Source organism: Homo sapiens, chromosome 4, assembly GCF_000001405.40.
Source record: "Homo sapiens chromosome 4, GRCh38.p14 Primary Assembly".
Lineage (NCBI taxonomy): Eukaryota > Metazoa > Chordata > Mammalia > Primates > Hominidae > Homo > Homo sapiens.
Window position 1 is genome coordinate 131,468,729 of NC_000004.12, and position 21,776 is coordinate 131,490,504.

At 35.2% G+C, this 21,776-nt stretch overlaps 1 long non-coding RNA gene across 33 annotated transcripts in view; it reads left to right on the forward strand.

The window, feature by feature from the left end:
- Positions 1–21,776, forward strand: part of LINC02377 (long intergenic non-protein coding RNA 2377) — a 338,568-nt gene that overhangs the window by 88,972 nt on the left and 227,820 nt on the right. For 7 of the 33 annotated variants that reach the window (NR_183920.1, NR_183927.1, NR_183934.1 and 4 more), the window contains one exon: positions 815–895. The exons of 24 other annotated variants lie outside the window; for them this stretch is intronic. This is a non-coding gene — a long non-coding RNA (long intergenic non-protein coding RNA 2377). Of the gene's footprint in view, positions 1–814; positions 896–6,450; positions 9,576–21,776 lie in introns of all 33 variants that reach the window. 2 more of the 33 variants (NR_183952.1, NR_183940.1) reach the window with 2 other exon arrangements.

Sequence of the window (21,776 nt, forward strand, 5' to 3'; positions counted from 1 at the left end):
ACCTTCACAGCAGCCCCTCCCATCACAGGCCCGGAGGCCCAGAAGGAAAATACGGTTTCATGGGCCAGGCCCAGGGCCCCTGTGCTGTGTGCAGCCTAGGGACTTAGTGCCCTGTGTCCAAGCTGCTTCAGCTGTGGCTGAAAGAAGCCAATGTACAGTTCGGACTGTGGCATCAGAGGGTGGAAGCCTCAAGCCTTGGCAGATTCCATGTAGTCTTGAGCCTGCAGGTGCACAAAAGTCAAGAATTGACATTTGGGAACCTCTACCTAGATTTCAGAAGATGCATGGAAATGCCTGGATGCCCAGGCGGAAGTTTCCTGCAGGGGCTGGGCCCTTATGGAGAATCTTTGTTAGAGCAGTGCAGAAGGGAAATGTGGAGTCAGAGCCCCCACACAGAGTCCCTACTGGGGCACTGCCTAGCAGAGGTGTGAGAAAAGGACCGCTGTCATCCAGACCCCAGAATGGGGTCCACCGACAGCTTGCACCGTGAGCCTGGAAAAGCCGCTGACACTCAACACCAGCCCATGAAATCAGCTGGGAGGGATGCTATACCCTGCAAAGCCAGAGGGGCTGAGCTGCCCAAGACCATGGGAACCCACCTCTTGCATTAGCGTGACCTGAATGTGAGACCTGGAGTCAAAGGACATTATTTTGGAGCTTTAATATTTGACTGCCTTGCTGGATTTTGGACTTGTATCGGCCCTATAACCCCTTCATTTTGGCCAATTTCTCCCATTTGGAATGGCTGTATTTATCCAATTATCTGTACCCTCATTTTATCTAGGAAGTAACTAGCTTGCTTTTGATTTTACAGGCTCATAGGCAGAAGGGACTTTCCTTGTCTCAGATGAGAATTTGGACTGTGGACTTCTGCTGAAAGTCATTTAATGCTGAAGTGAGTTAAGACTTTGGGGGACTGTTGGGAAGGCATGATTGGTTTTGAAATGTGAGAACATGAGATCTGGAGGGGCCAGGGGCTGTATGATATGATTTGGCTGTGTCCCCACCCAAATCTCAACTTAAATTATATCTCCCAGAATTCCCATGTGTTGTGGAAGGGACTCAGGGGGAGCTAATTGAATCATGGGGGGCATTATTTCCCATGCTTTTCTCGTGATAGTGAATAAGTCTCACAAGATCTGATAGGTTTATCAGGGGTTTCCACTTTTACTTTCTCATTTTCTCTTGCTACCACCATGTAAGTAGTGCCTTTTGCCTCCTTCCATGATTCTGAGGCCTCCCTAGTCTTGTGGAACTGTAAGTTCAATTAAACCTCTTTTCTTCCCAGCCTGGGGTATTTATTTATCAGCAGGATGAAAATGGACTGATCCATAATCATAGAATCTTGCTCCATTTAAGCAAGAGTGGCATTATACATTTTACATAAACGTGTGTGTGTATGTGCACCTGCTTGGAATATTTTAAGATCTTAAATAGTCAATTTCTTAAATTTCATCTTTTTCAAATCTTTTATTTTTTAAATACAGAAGGTTACAATCATATTTTCGTAAGGTAATTTTGGTACATTTCACATTTAATGGCTTATTTCTGATAATATTATTGATAGCAAAAAAACCTTTTTAGATAATGTTTTGTTATAAAAAATTATGCTTGTGTATTTGGTTGAGTATCTGGCCTTCATTGTATTTATACATGCAGATTTAAAAATTCTGGATTAACACCAATTCACCTCATAATTATTGCTTAAAAAATAGCAGGTATATAGGTCTTATGAGTAGGTAATAATTAAATACTGCTAAATCATTATAGGCACAATTATATCCAAGAAACAACATTGATGGACTATAATGGCTGAGATCTTAATTAAGCATGAGTCAGCAAATTCTAAACAAAGGTTCTATGACTACCACCTTTTCCTAAGTCTTTATACAGATCATTAGGCTGTATCTTTTTTTTTGAACATGAATTTCAACATAAAATTTAAGTGCATTATTTAAGAAGACAGAATATAAAAATCTCAGTTGAATATTAAAAGAATGGAACTGCTATAGTTTAAAATGTACTCCTTCCAAAATTCATGTAGATGCTTTATCTCCACTGTGGCAGTATTAAGAGATGAAGCATTTGGGGAAGTGATTAAGTCATGAGGGTTCAGTCATCATGAATGAGGTTATTGTCTTATAAAAGAGCTGAAGGGAACCATGTTAGGCCCTTTTTGCACTTCTACTTTCTGATATGTGAGAAAACAGTATTTGACTCCTCAGGAGGATGCAACGAGACATCACATTGGAAAGAGAAAACAAGGCCCTCATCAAACATCAAGCCTACCAGCACCTTGATCTTGAACTTCTCAGCCTCCACAGCTATGAGAAATAAATGTCTTCCTTTATAAACAACCCATTCTTAGGTATTTTATTCGAGCAGTAGAAAAAGACAAAGACAGGTATTAAATCACCTTTTGAAAAATCTGCCAGAATATTTTTAATGATCCAAACTCATCATCAATTGTACAAAATAAGAATTATCTCCCTGGAATGTGCAAATTAGGATATTGGTTTAGTTCTTTATTGAATTTATTTTAGTCCAGGTCATCTTGATCATTTTTTACAAACTCTAATTAAAATAACTTAATTTAATTTATTTATAATTTAATTTATAAAATGATATTATTATAAAATATGTAGCTCTCAGCTCTCAATTCAGAAATCTGCTCATTTTTCTGTGTGGCTGTCTAACCCAACACTGGTATAGTTCACTCTTCATAACTCAGAAGGCTACAGGTCTGTCTGGAAGTTTGCTGGGCCACTGAGTAGCATAATTATTTATGCTCATCTTGTAATTGCTTCCTCAATTTCACAATAATTGGGGAAAATGAGTTAAGGATAAAGGCAAAGTGCTTAGGTACTATACAAAGAAAATGATGAATTTTATTATATTCTGACTAACTTAGTTTTAAGCTACCTCAGAGAAAAAAAAAATGTCTAATTATTTAGTCGTCTCCAATATAGTACATTATCCAGTATCTATATAGTATGCTTCTAAATTTAATGCATGATTGAAAGGAATAATTTGGTGTTTTCTGATATGTAAACATGGCTTAAAATTACAATTTGACAGCAGTAGAAATTTCTACTCAATCTATCCAATACTTTATTTAAGTAATAAAAATTAATATATAGTAAAATCTCCTTATGTTATAGATTACTAACAGTTTTTTTTATTTTTAGTGAATCTTTTTGGTTTCTTTAAAAGTATATATTTTCAAATACTGGCCCTTTTCTTCCTCCTGTCTAACTGAAACACTGCACCCTTTGACCAGTCTCCCTATTCCTCCACTCTCTAGCCTCCTGTAGCCACAGTTCTGTTCTCTGCTTCTGTGTGTTCATTTTTTAAATAGCTTATTTTAAATAACTGTAAAGTATCACAGTAAAGGTAGAATATGACTTGAAATTTTGACATATAAAAGGCCAAATGCAGAAGGGTAGTGTCAAGTTTGATGTAGTTAAACTATGTACTGTATGGGATCTGCGTAAGTTCGCTAGAGGTGCTCTAGCAAAGAACAACTGGTGGCTAAAAACAAACAAAACAACAACAATAACGAACATATAATTTATTTTCTTCATGGTTCTTGAGACTAGAAGTCCAAACTCATGTTGTCATCAACTTTCGTTTCCTCTGAGACCTCTCTTCTTGGCTTATAGATGGCTTTCTTCTCTCCATGTCTTCATATCATCTTTCCTCTGCAGATGTTCATGTCCAAATGTTCTCTTACTATAACAACATTGGGGCCCACCTTAATGACCTCATTTCCACTAAATTACCTTTTTAAAGGCCCTATCTTTAAATATAGTCACACTCTGAAGTATCGGGGATTAGAACATCAACATATCAATTTTGGTGGGACACAATTCAACCCAAAATAGAATGACAAATATTAAGGCTGGCAAGGAGGAATGGTTATAAATATTTTTCCAATGTTACTACTTTTTCTGTGATAGTAAAGAAGAATGGTACATTATAATACCGTAACCAAATGTGGTCCTCACAATATAAATTATTATTTATCTATTATTTTCTTATAGAAAGCTTCAGAACACAATATCACAAAATTAGTAGCTTAAAAGCATACGTAGTTATGATCTCCCCATTCTCTGAGTTTGAATTCTGGGCACAAAATTAGCACGCATTGTGCTTAGGGTCTCACAAGCCTGAAATCTAACTCTTGGCCAGGGCTTGTTCCCATTTAAGGCTTGGGCCCTATCCCTAGAACATGTGGTTGTTGACAGAATTCAGTTTCTTACAATTGTAGGACTAAAATCTCTACTTTCCTACTAGCTTTTGGCCCAGGGATCAAAATTGGCTTCTAGTGCTAACCCTTGAGTCCTACCTACTTGGTGCTTTCACAGCATGGCAACTTAATTTCATCAAGACCGGCAGTATAATCTATCTCACACTCTAAATCTCTGATTTCAGAAAGAAGATAAACCCACCAAAAGTGATAATTTCAAGTTATAAGAAAAGAAAAATATAATCTTGTGACATAAGTTGCCTAGGATAGACAAAAATTACATTGTTCTCTCTAATTTTAGTAGCAAATATGACCAGACTTAGTGAAGTATATTTATGTTTTATATTATATTTTCAAGATTGCATTTCCAAGGATTGGAGCTTCCCAAGGAGGCAAATTTCCAACTTTTTTGTAAAAGCTGCTCTTAACAAATTATTCCAAAGCCCATTTTTTCTCAACTGAAGTTTAATCATTGTAAATAATTTGTCAACTATTAAATATATATTTATTGAGAATTAACACTTATCTTCCTGAGATCACATTAGGTGTTGTATTAACGTGCTTAGATAAAACATTCTTCTTTTTTATTATTATAATACTTTAAGTTCTGGGATACATGGCAGAACGTGCAGGTTTGTTACATAGGTAAACATGTGCCATGGTGGTTTGCTGTACCCATCAACCCATCATCTACATTAGATATTTCTCCTAATGCTGTCCCTCCTCCTGCCCCCAACTCCCTGATAGGCCCCAGTGTGTGATGTTCCCTTCTCTGTCCATGTATCCTCATTGTTCAACTCCACTTATGAGTGAGAACATGTGGTGTTTGGTTTTCTGTTCCTGTGTTAGTTTGCTGAGAATGATGGCTTCGAACTTCATCCAGGTCCCTGCAAAGGATAGAAACTCATGCTTTTTTATGGCTGCATAGTATTCCATGGTGTATATGTGCCACATTTTCTTTATCCAGTCTATCATTGATGGGCATTTGGGTTGGTTCCAAGTCTTTGCTATTATGAATAGTGCTGCAGTAAACATACGTGTGCATGTGTCTTTATAGTAGAATGATTTATAATCCCTTGGGTATATACCCAGTAATGGTATTGCTGGGTCAAATGGTATTTCTAGTTCTAGATGCTTGAGGAATTGCCACACTGTCTTCCACAGTGGTTGAACTAATTTATACTCCCACCAACAGTGTAAAAGTGTTCATATTTCTCCACATCCTCTCCAGCATCTGTTGTTTCCTGACTTTTTAATGATTGCAATTCTAACTGGCGTGAGATGGTATCTCATTGTGGTTTTGATTTGCATTTCTCTAATAACCAGTGATTATGAGCTTTTTATCCTTTGTAGGCCGCATAAATGTCTTCTTTTGAGAAGTGTCTGTTCATATCCTTCCCTCACTTTTTGATTGGGTTGTTTGTTTTTTCTTCTAAATTGCTTTAAGTTCCTTGTAGATTCCTCATATTAGCCCTTTTTCAGATGGGTAGATTGCAAAAATTTTCTCTCATTCTGTAGGTTGCCTGTTCACTCTGATGATAGTTTCTTTTGCTGTGCAGAAGCTACTTAGTTTAATTAGATCTCATTTGTCAATTTCGGCCTTTGTTGACATTGCTTTTGGTGTTTTAGTCATGAACTCTTTGCCCATGCCTGTGTCCTGCATGGTACTGCCTAGGTTTTCTTCTAGGGTTTTTGTGGTTTTAGGTTCACATTTAAGTCTTTAATCCATCATGAGTTAATTTTTGTATAAGATGTAAGGAAGGGGTCCAGTTTCAGTTCTCTGCATATGGCTAGCCAGTTTTTCCAGTACCATATTAAATAGGAAATCCTTTCTCCATTTCTTGTTTTTGTCAGGTTTGTTGAAAATCAGATGCTTGTAGATGTGTGGCGTTATTTCTCAGGCCTCTGTTCTGTTCCATTGGTCTGTATATCTGTTTTGGTACCAGTGCCATGCTGCTTTGGTTACTGTAGTCTTGTAGTATATTTTGAAGTCAGGTAGCGTGATGCCTCCAGGTTTGTTCTTTTTGCTTAGTATTGTCTTGGCTATATGTGCTCTTTTTTGGTTCCATATGAAATTAAAAGTAGTTTTTTCTTATTCTGTGAAGATATTCAATGGTACTAGCAAAACTAAGCTTCATAAGCAAAGGAGAAATGAAATCCTTTACAGACAAGCAAATGATGAGAGATTTTGTCACCAACAGGTCTTCCTTACAAGAACTCCTGAAGGAAGTATTAAATATGGAAAGGAAAAACTGGTACCAACCACTGCAAAAACATACCAACTTGTGAAGACCCACAACACTATGAAGAAACTGCATCAACTAATGGACAAAATAAAGAGCTAGCATCAAAAAGACAGGATCAAATTCACACATAACAATATTAATCTTAAATGTAAATGGGCTAATGCCCCAATTAAAAGACACAGACAGGCAAATTGGATAAAGAGTCAAGACCCATCAGTGTGCTATATTCAGGAGACCCATCTCCCATGCAAAGACACACAGAGGCTCAAAATTAAGGGATAGAGGAATATTTACCAAGCAAATAGAAAGCAAGAAAAGCAGGGGTTGCAATCCTAGTCTCTGATAAAACAGACTTTAAATAAACAAAGATCAAAAAAGACAAAGAAGGGCATTACATAATGGTAAAGGGACGAATGCAAGAAGAAGAGATAACTATCTTAAATATATCTTGGGCACTCAATACAAGAATACCCAGATTCATTAAGCAAGTTCTTAGAGATGTACAAAGAGACTTAGACTGCCACACAATAATAGTGGGAGACTTTAACACACCACTGTCAATATTAGACAGTTCAACAAGACAGAAAATTAACAAGGATATTCAGGACTTGAACTCAGCTCTGGACAAAGCAGATGTAATAGACACCCACAAAACTCTCCACCTCAAATCAACAGAATATACATTCTTCTCAGCACCACGTCACACTTATTCTAAAATTGACCACATAATTGGAAGTAAAACACTCCTCAGCCAATGTAAAAAATGGAAATCATAACAAACAGTCTCTCAGAACACAGGGACACTGAACAACCTGCTCCTGAATGACTACTGGGTAAATAACGAAATTAAAGCAGAAATGAATAAGTTCTTTGAAACCAATGAGAACAAAGACACAACGTACCAGAAACTCTGGGACGCAGCTAAAGGAATGTTGACAGGGAAATTTATAGCACTAAATGCCCACATGAAGAAGCGGGAGGATCTAAAATCAACACCCTAACATCACAGTTAAAGAACTAGAGAAACAAGAGCAAACAAATTCAAAAGCTAGCAGAAAACAAGAAATAATTAAGATGAGAGCAGAACTGAAGGAGATAGAGACACAAAAAATCCTTCAAAAAAATCAGTGAATCCAGGAGCTGGTTTTTTGAAAAGATTAACAAAATAGATAGACCGCTAGCTATAGTAATAAAGAAGAAAAGAGAGAAAAATCAAATAGATGTAATAAGAAATGATAAAGGGGATATCACCACTGATCCCACAGAAATACAAACTGCCATCAGAGAATACTATAAACACCTCTATGCAAATAAACTAGAAAATCTAGAAGAAATGGATAAATTCCTGGACACATACACCCTCCCATGACTAAACCAGGAAGAAGTCGAATCCCTAAATAGATCAATAACAAGTTCTGAAATTGAGGTAGTAATTAACAGCCTACCAACCAAGAAAAGCCCAGGACCAGACAGATTCACAGCCGATTTCTATCAGAGGTACAAAAAGGAGCTGGTACCATTTCTCCTGAAACTATTCCAAACAACAGGAAAAGAGAGACTCTTCCCTAACTCATTTTATGAGGCCAGCATCATCCTGATACAGAAACCTGGCAGAGATACAACAGTAAAGGAACATTTCAGGCAAATAATGCTGATAAACATCGATGCAAAAACCCTCAATATAATACTGGCAAACTGAATCCAAGAGCACATCAAAAGCTTATCCACCATGATCAAGTCAGCTTCATCCATGGGATGCAAGGCTGGCTCAACATATACAAATTAATGAACATAATCCATCATATAAACAGAACCAATGACAAAAGCCACATGATTATCGCAAGAGATGCAGAAAAGGCCTCCGATAAAATTCAACACATCTTCATGCTAAAAACTCTCAATAAACTAGATATTGATGGAACGTATCTCAAAATAATAAGAGCTATTTAAGACAAACCCACAGCCAATATCACACTGAATGGACAAAAGCTGGAAGCATTCTCTTTGAAAACCGGCACAAGACAAGGATGCCCTCTCTCACCACTCCTATTCAACATAGTGTTGGAAGTTCTGGCCAGGGCAATCAGGCAAGAGAAAGAAAGAAGGGTATTTAAATAGGAACAGAGGAAGTCAAATTGTCTCTGTTTGCAGATGACATGATTGTATATCTAGAAAACCCCATCGTCTCAGCCCAAAATCTCCTTTAGCTGATAAGCAAGTTCAGCAAAGTCTCAGGATACAAAATCAATGTACAAAAATCACAGGCATTCCTATACACCAATAATAGACAGATAGCCAAATTGTGAGTGAACTCCCATTCACAATTGCTACCAAGAGAATAAAATACCCAGGAATACAACTTACAAGGGATGTGAAGGACCTCTTCGTGGAGAATGACGAACTACTGCTCAAGGAAATAGGAGAGGACACAAACAAATGAAAAAATTTTCATGGTTATGGATAGGAAGAATCAATGTCGTGAAAATGGCCATACTGCTCAAAGTAATTTATATATTCAACAACAATATTCTTTAAGTGATTTTTGTATGATAGGGAGACTGCCTTCCATCAATTGATGCACTTATAATTTAATATTTAAAAGTTCCAGGAAATTTTTGGCAGTGAGAAACAAAACAAAATGAAAGTGCTTGAAACCTGGGGACCTGGAGCCATCACTTACAATATAGACAGGCGCCAACAGCCTTTTTTGCTTGTGGAAGTACCTCAGTCTTTTTATACTGATATGAGTATTGAAAATGCTCAGTAAATATTTGTTGAATAATAAGTGATCAGTCATTTATATCAGAAGTATACTTAAACTAGAAAGAGGAAACATAGAATCAGGCCTGAAACTGAAGCTGGAAGTCGATGCAGAGTGAACGGATATATCAGAATCCAAAGTCTCAGCAATGTGATAGGTGCAAAGATAACTATCCGTTCTGGAAGACACAACGCAAGCAAATTAAGCCTTGAAAGGCAAATGACTTGACATCACATGTTAGGCAACCTTTTCTATTGTTCTTCGCCTCAGAGAATAAATGTTTGAGTAAGACTTTCCAAACTGCTTGCATGTTTTGTCTGTAAGTAGAAAGCATTTGCTGTACTTTAAAGGTACATTTCTAGTGTTTAGGGAGAATGTAAATTCAACCTCTCTGGCACTCTATAGTTACCTTACTGTAATGTAATTTTCTACAACACCCTGAAAGCTTTTCCTTCGATACTTCTTGAAACTCCTACTGTTCAAGTATAGTTCTGTAGAAATTGCTTCATTTCTCATCCTTCATTGAAGGACGAAATTTGTAGTGCCCACAGTTGGCTGTTTATGTCTCCAAACACCAGACTGGCTTGATGGCCAAGACCAAACATCAATCCTCTTTGGCTTTCATATCTGGAAAAACATTCCTGATCGCTGGTTCCTCCACCTAGTGACCAGTTTCACCTTCCGTTCCCAAATATTTCAATTCACTAAAAACTCTTAGTCATAAATAAAAACTCCTAACTGATCACCTGAAAACTCCTTTTTTTGTAAGTCCACAGTCAATCTGTCAATGATTTCTATTAATTCTAAGTAAGATCAATCAGTTTTCTTTAAAAAAAAATTAATTCCTAATGCACAAGGGCAAAGTGTAATAATGCGGTTCTTGATAGAACACATTTGTTTCCTTATAGGTCTCTGTTCTTCTGTGTATGACCTCTTCCAGTATATATTTTTTGTTGGTCAGATAAACTCATCATTTTAAAATGCGAATCAGATAGCTCCACTCCATGCTTAAAAACAAGGGGTGCTTGCTTTTTAACATGTACCATAAAAGGCCCTGTTTGATCCTATCCCATCAAGTTTCTCTAGATTTTATACCAGCTATTCCTTTGCCTTTTATCATTTTTTTTCTTACATCTACCTGACTAACTTGATGGGTAGATCACTTCTAAGAAAGTATTTTCCTGATTATTCTCTCAAAATTATCATCCGCTGACCTCCTGCCTTCACTTTATAGTCTCTCTCACAGAAGCCATCTCTTTTGTGTCATGAAAATTATCACCATTTGAATTTGGTATTGATCAATATGCTTATTTTTAATGACTTTTTCTGGAGTAAACTACAAGCTTAATGAGGGCAAAAATTATTTCTTACTTGTTTATTCCTACTTACCCAGAGTCTGAAACAATAATTTGCACAGGGATAATGTCCACAAAATGTAAATTAGTGAAATAATGATTCCTTTTTGTTAACACTTTTAGGAAGAAAGGGACAGTTATTAAAGGTATACTACAAAGCATCGCCAAACATTATTATACATTATGGCTTAAGCTCTGTTGTGAGTATGTAGATGTTAGTTAATTTTTACCTGACATAAATGTTTGTATGCCCAAATATTATATTAAATGTAGGGAAAAATAATTTTATCTACCTGAATTTGCTAAACATACCCATCATTTTCTATGCATGCTCTCTCAGTGTGATGAACTGGGTCATGATGTAAAGAAGTCAAAGTAATGGTATTTCTTTAATAAATGCAAATATGTATATTTCTTCATTGTAATATACAGTGGGAATAATTATCAGTTCAGAATTACATAGAGAAACTGAGTTGTAAGCACAGTGAGGACAGTTATCATGTCTTATTTAATTTTCGTAATGTGTATTATCTATACAATATATCAACACTCAATAAGTGTTTGGTAAATCAATAGATGGATGGATGAATCAAAGAACAGATAGATGAATAGATGGAGAGATAATCACATTTCATATGTAGAAATTTAAGACAAGGGTTACAGATTATGCATTAAATGGTTTCACAATTTTATCCTCTGAAAGTATTGTGATGAATTAACTTTTAGAAACCTGCAACTCATGAATGTTTTTCATTATTTTCCTGTACACATCTTTTGAAAATGCAAATCTTTACATGTGACCAAAGTATCCTAAATTTAAAAGTATTCGTTATTGTATTTACTTCAATATACATTTTTATTTGTTCATTTTACATTACTGTTTTGTTTAAAATATTATCTAAGGTTACAAAGTATAAAATAAGCTCTTGGTGCTTCTGCACAGCAAAAGAAACTACTAACTTATTGAATAGTAAGTGATCATCAGAGTGAACAGGAAACCTACAGAGTGGGAGAAAATTTTTGCAATCTACCCATCTGACAAAGGGCTAATATCCAGAATCTACAAAGAACTTAAACAAATTTACAAGAAAAAAATCAAACAACCCCATCAAAAAGTGGACAAAGGGTATGAACAGACACTTCTCAAAAGAAGACATTTATGCAGCCAACAGACATGAAAAAATGCTCATCATCACTGGCCATCAGAGAAATGCAAATCAAAACTACAATGAGATACCATGTCACACCAGTTAGAATGGCAATCATTAAAAAGTCAGGAAACAACAGGTGCTGGAGAGGATGTGGAGAAATAGGAACACTTTTACACTGTTGATGGGACTGTAAACTAGTTCAACCATTGTGGAAGACAGCATGGTGATTTGTCAAGGATCTAGAACTAGAAATACCATTTGACCCAGCCATCCCATTATTGGGCATATACCCAAAGGATTATAAATCATGCTGCTATAAAGACAGATGCACATAGATGTTTATTGTGGCACTATTCACAATAGCAAAGACTTGGAACCAACCCAAATGTCAACAATGATAGACTGGATTAAGAAAATGTGGCATATATACACCATGGAATACTATGCAGCCATAAAAAAGGATGAGTTCATGTCCTTTGCAGGGACCTGGATGAAGCTCGAAGCCATCATTCTCAGCAAACTAACACAGGAACAGAAAACCAAACACCACGTGTTTTCACTTATAGGTGGGAATTGAACGGTGAGAATACTTGGACACAGGGTGGGGAATATCACACACTGGGCCCTGTCGTGGGGTCGGGGGAGGGAGGAGGGATAGCATTAGGAGATATACCTAATGTAAATGATGAGTTAACAGGTGCAACACACCAACATGACACATGTATGCATATGTAACAAACCTGCACATTGTGCACATGTAACCTAGAACTTAAAGTATAATTTAAAAAATATAATAATAAGCTCTTGGTGTTGACTTCTTTTTGTTTTCTTTTTTTTTTTTTTTTTTTTTTTGAGACAGAGTCTTGCTCTTATTGCCCAGGCTGCAGTGCAGTGGTGGGATCTTGGCTCACTCAAACTCCACCTTCCAGTTTCAAGCAATTCTCCTGCCTCAGCCTTCTGAGTAGCTGGATTACAGGCGCCTGCCACCCACCCTGCTAATTTTTGTATTTTTAGTAGAGACAAAATTTCATCATGTTGGCCAGGCTGGTCTCAAACTCCTCGTGATCTGCCTGCTTCGGCCTCTCAAAGTGCTGGGATTACAGGTGTGAGCCACAGCGCCTGGCCTTAGTGTTGACTTCTAATAAACAATGGTTTCAGTGACATTCTGTGGCATACCTCTCTATAGAGATCATATAAAACTCAGCTCAGTGGCTCATGCCTATAACCCCAGCACTTTAGGAGGCCAGGCAGGAAGATTGCTTGAAGCCAGGAGTTTGAGACCAGCCTGGGCAACATGATGAGACCTCAAAAAAAAAAAAAAAGTCGATGGGGTGGCACTTGCCTCCTGTAGTTCTAACTACTTGGAAGGCTGAAGCAGGAGGATCACTTGAGCACAGGAACTCAAGGCTGAAATGAGCTATGATCAGGCCACCACACACGAGCCTGGGCAACACAGTAAGACCCTGTCCCTAAAGAATATAATTTAAAATTATACATATATATAATTTAAAATTAATTTAAAATTATGTATATATAATTTTTATTTGTTTTTATTTATATATATATAAAATATTGACAAAGAAGAAGTTTCAAAATTCATCTCAAATTAGTGAATCACTCATTTCCTTGTCAAACTTAAATGACACTAGACAATATAAAATTTAAATAAGTTGGTTAGCCAGGGATAATGTTTGAAGATACTTACTTAATACATTTTCACTGATGACTATAAAATAGTACTTTAAACTCAAATGCTGGCTGCTGATGGAGGGCAAGTCAACTTCAATTGTTCTGCATGTGAAATATATGAAGAAATAATCACAATAAATATATTCACAGAAATAGTAACTGAAGATAGACTAATGAGGTCTGAAAATATAAGCACTGGGGAATAGCAGTACACAAAGAACAGATCAACACGATGTTACAGCGACAAAAGCAACTACAAGAAACAAATCAATACAATATTCAACTTTTAAAACAAGTACAAACCAAAATAGAGGCTTAAGAGACAGACAATCATCGTCAAGCATTCAAGTAGTAAATATTTATGCGTATAATTGAATATATGTGTGTATTTATATAATTATGGGAAATTAGAGAAAGAAATGGAAGCATCAAGTTTCTGAAATATTATTTCACGTTAAAAATTGTTATTTCTCTAGGTAAGATTATGAGTGAAAATTTAATCTTTCTTCGTTCTTATGCATTTTCTTCTTAAGTTTTCAAAAAATAATTATAACATTTGTAATTAGAATATAATTAAAATGTATTATTTAGAAATAGTTGACAAGACAAAAAAATCTTAAGTTTGTGATAATGAATGAAATAAAGCAAATTTAGATATCTAAAAGACTAATAAACCCCCAAAATATTGGTACAAAGCATTTGTTAGTTTGTCATTGGTTATTTCTAGTTAAAATATATAGAATTAATATGCCAATAAATATACATTAAATTTTAAATGGCTTTCATTAATATATTTTTAATTTAGTGATATCATTTATATCAATTCATAAATCAACTTAAATGTTTGTTGGTAGTATTTCCTAGATAGCCAGAGTTCAAAAACTAACAAAATGTTTCCTTTTTTACTTTTTCCCTGTTTTTATCATTTCTCCTTTTTTTACTTATGCACAACATATTATTTTGTTCTTCAAATCCTTCGTATCCTACATTTCCCAAAATCATAAATACATTCAGATAATTTTATAGTATTTATTCAATTTAGTCAGTTCAAAATGTATCTAAATTTTAACTATGTTTCTATACTTATCACTGAGGATACAATGTTTGTGTTTTTAAACAGCTGTAACAAACTTGTAAGGGAAATGAAAGTCTTTTCCAAATTATTCAGTTACTTGTTCAGTACTCTATCACTCATCTAACAATAAATTTACATATCTATCTATGGAGGATATAATCTATCAAAAATGCTTTACCTGTGTTTAGGTCCTGTATAGAAAGTTGAAGATACCATGTTATTTTCATATTTTTTATAAAAAAGACCACTCTGCGTATTTCTTTGTTTTTTTGGGAAATACAATGGAATAATAATAAAGTAGAGAGAAAAATTACCACATAATTTAAGTTTCTATGTGGATCAGAAATTTAAAAACCTCTTATATAATAACATTTTTATGTCTTTTATTCTGTCTACAATGAAATTGTAAGATGAATTATATTGAATTATCTATTTTCAATTTTTTACATCTAGTTTGAAGCCTTTTTATTTATTTATTTTTAGAGAGAGGGTCTTGCTCTGTCACCCAGGCTGGAGTGCAATTGCACAATCTTGGCTCACTGCAGCCTCAAACTCCTGGGCTTAAGGGATCCTCCTGCCTCAGCCTCTCGAGTAGGTAGGACTACAGTCATGTTCTACCATGCTCAGCTAATTTAATTTTTTTTTTCTGTTTGTTTGTTTGTTTTTTCATAGCGACAGGATCTTTCTTTGTTGCCTAGGCTAGTCTCAAATTCCTGGCCTCTAGTAATCCTCCCACCTTGTACTCTCAAACCTGAGGCCTTTTTAGTTCTTTTACGAAGTAATTCATCAATAATTTTAAAAATTGTATCATAAGATAAATTCTTACTCATAACAGAAAGGTATCTGCATATCAATAAGTTACAACTTACGCTTTGTTGCAATTGTAATTCAAAGCAGGTTAATCTTTACCTTGAATTATTATTCCTGGATAAACCATGTGGAATTCTTAATTAATTCTATAATTTGTCTTCTCATCATTTTAGCAGTGTCATTCATAAAGCAAAAGTTTTTACTTTTGGGATTTATTTTTTGTTGTTACTTTTTCTTTTTAGCGATTATACTTTTGGTATTAAGAATAAGAACTGTTCACCTAGTGTGGCTTCCTAAAGGTGATTTGGGTTTTTTTAACCCCTGAAATTTTGTTTTTACATTTTACATTGAAATCTGTGATCTATTTAGGGTTAATGCTAGTATAAGATGTGAGATATAGTTACTTTGTGTATTAGTTTGTTCTCACACTTCTAATAAAGACATAACCAAGACTGGGTAATTTATAAAGGAAAGAGGTTTAATTGACTCACAGTTCCACAGGGCTGAGGAGGCCTCAAGAAACTTAAAAAATTATGTCAGAAGAGGAAGCAAACACGTCCTTCTTCACATAGCAGCAGCAAAGGGAAGTGTAAAGTGAGGTGGGGCGAAAGCCCCTCATAAAACCACCAGGTCTCATGAGAACTCACTCACTGTCATGAACTCACTGTCATGAGAACTGCGTGGAGGTAACTGCCCCCATGATTCAATTACCTCCCACCGAGTCCCTCCCACGACATGTGGGGAATATGGAAACTACAGTTCAAGATGAGATTTGAGTGGAGACACAGGCCAACTATATCACTTTGTTTGTTTTTGCCTGTGGATATCCAAATATTTCCATATGATTTCCTCAAAAGGCTATCTTTCTTCCATTGCATAGAATTCCATTTGCCTCTTTGACAAAAATCAATTAAGAATATTTGTGTGGGTCTATTTCTCTGTTTTCGATTCTGTTCCATTTATCTAAATGTCTATCTGTTGTTTAAGACTTAAAATGAAGGTTAATTATAATGTTTATCTTGAAATCTGGGGAAAACCAGAGGCCCTCTTTTCCAGAGTACAACCCACTGTGGCATTGCACAATATGCATTGTCTTCCTTCTTTGGGCTGTGAATATATGTTACTAACAAACTACTATGAAGCTCATCTGTACAGTGTTGGGTGCTGTGTGTTTGACCTGTAGCATAACTTTATGATAGTAAGCTCAAAAACCTAACCATGGGATAAAGAGGTTGAGATCAAAACACTATATCTCTGACAATACAACACATTTTTTAATTTTGTAGCTATAAAAGTCTTGAAATTGAGTAGACCAATATATCCCACTTTATTATTCTGCTTCAAAATTATTTTAGCTATTCTAGTTCCTTTGTTTTTGCACCTACATTTTAGAATAATATTGTCAATAACTAAGAATTCTTGCTGGAACTTTGATAGACAAATTGTTAAACCCACATACCAGTAGGAGGATAATTGATAGTTTTGCTATATTGAGTCTTCCAATCCATGAACAGGCTATTTATCTCCATTTGGTTAGGTCTTATTTTATTTCTTTCATTACCAACTGCATAGTTTCTGCATATAAGTTCTGTTAATGTATTCTTAGTTTTATACCTAAGTATTTTGTTGCTTTGATCTTTTTTAAGCAGTTTTAAATGATACTGCATTTTTAATTTTAACATCAATGTGCTCATTGCTAGTTATAGAAATGCAATTCATTTTTGTAGGTTGGTCTTGTATTCTGTCACCTTTCCAAATAAACCTGCTAGTTCTAGGAACATTTTTTAAAAAGAGAATTATTGGAATTTTCTAGGTAGAAAATTGTGTCATCTGTAAATAGTTTTTCTTATTTGTTTTTGATTTGTATCCCTTCTATTGGTCTTTCTTGACAGATTTCACTGACTAGAATTACCAGTACTATGTCAAATAAGAGTGACTAGTTTGGACATATTTTTTCACAATCCTGGTAGAATAAAAGCATTCATTTTTTCATGGTTAAGTATATGACTGGTAGGTTTTATTGAGTTTATTTGTTTTGCTTTGTTTTTTGTAAATCCTCTTTATATAGGAAATTCTACTCTATTTCTATTTTTCTGACATTTCTTAACAAAAATTATGAATGAGTGTTGAATTTTGTCAAATGCTTTTTCTATACCAATTGATATAATCTTGAGATTTTTTTTTCTTTCTTATAGTGTTAATATAGTGGGTTACATTTATTGAATTTTGAATATTGATTTAGCCTTCCATGACTGGAATAAACCCCATTTGGTGATGGTATATAATTCATTTTTTTCTTTTTTTTTATAAATTTTAATTTCTTTATTAAAAAAATAGAGATCTCACTAAAATGAGGCCTCACTGTGTTGCCCAGGCTGGTCTCAAATGCCTGAGTTCAAGTGATTTGCCTGCATCGGCTTCTTAAAGTGCTGAGATTACAAGTGTGAGCCACTGCTCCCAGCCTATAACTCTTTGTGTATAATAATTTTGCATCTATATTAATGAAGAACATTGATCTATAGATTTTTTGTTTGTACTCTCTATCCCTTGCTTTAGAAGTAGGGTAATATTAACTTCATAAAATGAGTTTGAATTTGTCCCCCTACTTTTGTTTCTGCATGAAATTGTGTAGAATTAGTTATTCCTTCTTAAAATATTTATATAATGCTTTTCTGAAACTATCTGGGCCTTGGAATTTTTAGTGCAAGGAATTTTTAAATTACAAATTTAATATCTCAAGTAGTTACAGGACTATTAACTTTATCTATTTCATATTGAGTGAATTGTGATAGGGTATGCTTTTTGAAGAACTGGTCCAGTTCATCTTAATTGTCAAATTTATACATCGATTTGTTTGTAGTATTCCCTTATTATTCATCAATGATGGTATGATAGTCCCTGTTTCCTTCCTGATAGTGATAATTTGTTTTGACTTTTTGTCTTTGTCACTCTTGTTAGATATATGTCCGTTGTATTGATTTTCCTCAAGGACCAGCTACTTGTTCGATCATTTTTCTTACTTGCTTTTTTGTTTTTGTTTTTGTTGCATTATTTCTGGTCCTATTATTTTCTTCCTTCTGCTTGACTTGTTTTGATATTCTTCTTGGTTCTTGATGTGGAAATTAGATGATTGTTGAAGACAGTTCCTCCTTTTCTAATGTTAATTCTCTTATATTTCTTTTCAGCACTGATTTAGCTGCCTCCCACATATTTTGATGTATTACATTTTCACTTTTATTTAGTTCAATTAATTTTTAATTTATAGATGTTTCAAAGAAGTGTTTAGTTTCTAAGTGTTTGGAGACTTCTTATCTTTCCATTATTGATGTTTGGATTGATTCAGTTGCATTCATAGATTATATTCTCTATGATATGCTATATCCAGATATGCTTTGTGAGTGTTTGAAAAAAATGTGTCATCTGCTACTGTGGGATTAGGAGTTCTGTAAGTGTAAATTGAACCCTGTTGGTTGATAATTTTATTGATTTTTTTTCTATATTCTTGCTAATTTTCTAATTATTATATCAATTGCTGAGAGAGGGGTGTTGAAATTTCCAACAGTAATTGTGGATTTATCTATTCCTTTTATCAGTGTTTGCTTGATATACTTTACATGTCTGTTGTTTGGTGCATAAACATTAGGACTGAGGTCCTGTGTGTGGAATGACCCTTTTACGACCTTATCTAGTGTCCCTTTTAGACTGGTCATTTTCTATGCTCTGAAATCTACTTTACCTGACATTAATATAGCCTGTTTAGCTTTCTTTTGGTTAATGTAACACATTAATCAAATTAATACATACAAAGTGCAATCAGCCCTCTATCAGTGGTTCTGCATCCATGGATTCAACCAACCTCAGAAAATATTTTAGACAACAATAAAATGGGGCTGGGTGCAGTGGCTCATGCCTGTAATCCCAGCCCTTTGGGTGGCTGAGGCAGGTGAATCACCTGAGGTCAGGAGTTCGAGACCAGGCTGGCCAACATGGTGAAACCCCATCTTTACTAAAAATACAAAAATTAGCTTGGCGTAGTAGCAGGTGGCTGTAATCCCAGCTACTTGGGGGGCTGAGACAGGAGAATAGCTTGAGCCCAGGAGGCAGAGGTGGCAATGAGCAGAAATGGTGCCATTGCACTCCAGTGTGGGCGACAAAGCAAGACTCCATCTCAAAAAAAATAAATAAATAAAGGAAAACAATAAAATGACAATACAACAATAAAATAATACAAATAAAAAACACATTATAATACAAATATGAACTGTCTACCTAGCTTTTCATTGTATTTGGTATTATAAGCAATCTGGTGATGACTTAAAATACATGGAAGAAATTTATGTTGGTTATCTGCAAACACTCTACCACTTTATAAGGAATTTGTGCTTCCAACAGATTTTGGTATCCAGGAAGTCCCAGAACCAATCTCTCATAGGTACCACGAGATAACAGTATATCTCTATATAGGTATTTTAGTGTTTTCTCTAGGTATTAATTTATACATGTGTAACATTGCAGTCTACTCGTGTTGGCATTTTACCAATTTGAATGAAATATAGAGACCTTACACTTTATATCCTATTGTTTTTCTCTATTAAATAATTGTGAAAACTATATTCCACATACATTCAGAAGCACATCAGACAGTGTTATAATGTTTGCTGGAACTGTCAAACATAATTTAGAAGACTGAGAAAAGGAGGAAAATATGATGTCTTCATTTATATTTTTACTCTTTCTCTTTGTTCATTCTTCCTTGTATGTTCCAAGGTCCCTTATAACAGTTACTTTTTCTGTTTAGAGAACTTCCTTTAACCATTCTTTTAAGTAGTTGACTGTTCTTTTCTTTTAGCACTTGAGAAAAACTGTTACGTCACTTCCTTTGGCCTGTTGTTTTCTGATGAGAAATTCACCATAATCTGAACTGTTTTTCCCTATATGTAATTTGTTGCTTTTATCTTACTGTGGTCAAAAGCATTTTTTTTTTCGTCTTTCAAAAGCTTGACTATGTCTTAGCATAGATTTGTTTAGATTTATTGTGGTTTTGATTCACTCAGCTTCTTGACTGTAGTTTTCTTTTACCAAGTTTGGGGGGTTTTCAGCAATAATCTCTTGGAATTTATTTTCAGCTCCCCTGTTCTTTCTCCTTGTTTCTTTAACTCTGATGCCACAAATGTTCAAATTTTTGTTATAATTTCCCCTGTCCCTGAGGGTTTTCTTCAGTCTATTTTATCTCTGTTTTTGATTTGGGGTAATTTGTGGGGAATTTGCACTATTCTGTGTTCCAGGTAACTTTCTTTTGTCTTTTTCATTCTGCTGTTGAGCCATTCCATTGAGTTTTATTGTAGATTAGTTATTACATTTTTTAGAGCTAAAGTTTTTATGTGGTTCTATACCTCTTCCAATTCTTCATTTAAAATCTGTTTTTTTCATATATTTCATTTGTGTTTATAAATATGCTTATTGAAACATTATTGTGACTACTGCTATCTTTGATAACTCTGACATGTCTTTTATTTAGGTGTTGGCAAATAGTCAATGTCTTTTTTCATTCAAGCTGAGATTTTTCTGGATGTTTGTATAGCAAGTAATTTTCAACTGACGGCTGACGTTTTGTCTAATGTGGTATGAGGGTCTGTATCTTCGTTAAACCTACTGCTTTAGCTGACTTTCTCTGACACAGCAATAACAGGGGAAGGGAATACACAGGCTCCTTATTGCTAAGTGGGGGTAGATGTTTACATTCTGCCCTCAGCCTGTGTTGACATCTGAGAAGGATATTTATGACTACTGCTGAGCTACGGTGGGATTTAGGGCTCCCAGTTTGGCCTCCACTGATACACCTTGGTTGGGATGGTTAGAAGTGCCTCTTTACTACACCCCATGTGGCCACTGCAAAGGCTGTAAGAGTTAGGGAGGTTAGTGAAAGACCCGATTTCCCCAGTAGGCCTTTTTGATCTACTCCAGTATTTTGGGAGAGAGGTGCCTCATTATTGTGAAGTGGGATTGGAAATATGAGCCTTTTACCATGTTGTTTCCATTGACCCCATGCAGGACTGGGCCTTTGTTAGTGCCTGACAGGTATGAAAGTCTCAGCTATCTGTTCTGTATTCTAGGGCTTTATCCCAGCAGATGTGTCACTCATTACAAGATTTTTTTGTGTGTGTGGAATATACTTGTAGTAGAGTAGTTGTTTCAAAATATTTTGTCTTGCTAGGATGCTACTATCTTGCTCCATAAGATAGAGATAACTGGCTTTTTAGGGTGGCTTTTTGTTTGTTTTATGTGTGTCGGGGGGTGGAGGGGCTGTTAGGGCCTCTTGGCTTTTCTAGGTTGCCTGATATTTTAGCTCCAAGTCTATGATTAAAAGGCAAAAGCAAACCCAAATATTTCACCATTATTTCATTCCTTGATTTCCAAAGCACCTAGCCAGTTTGCTTTCT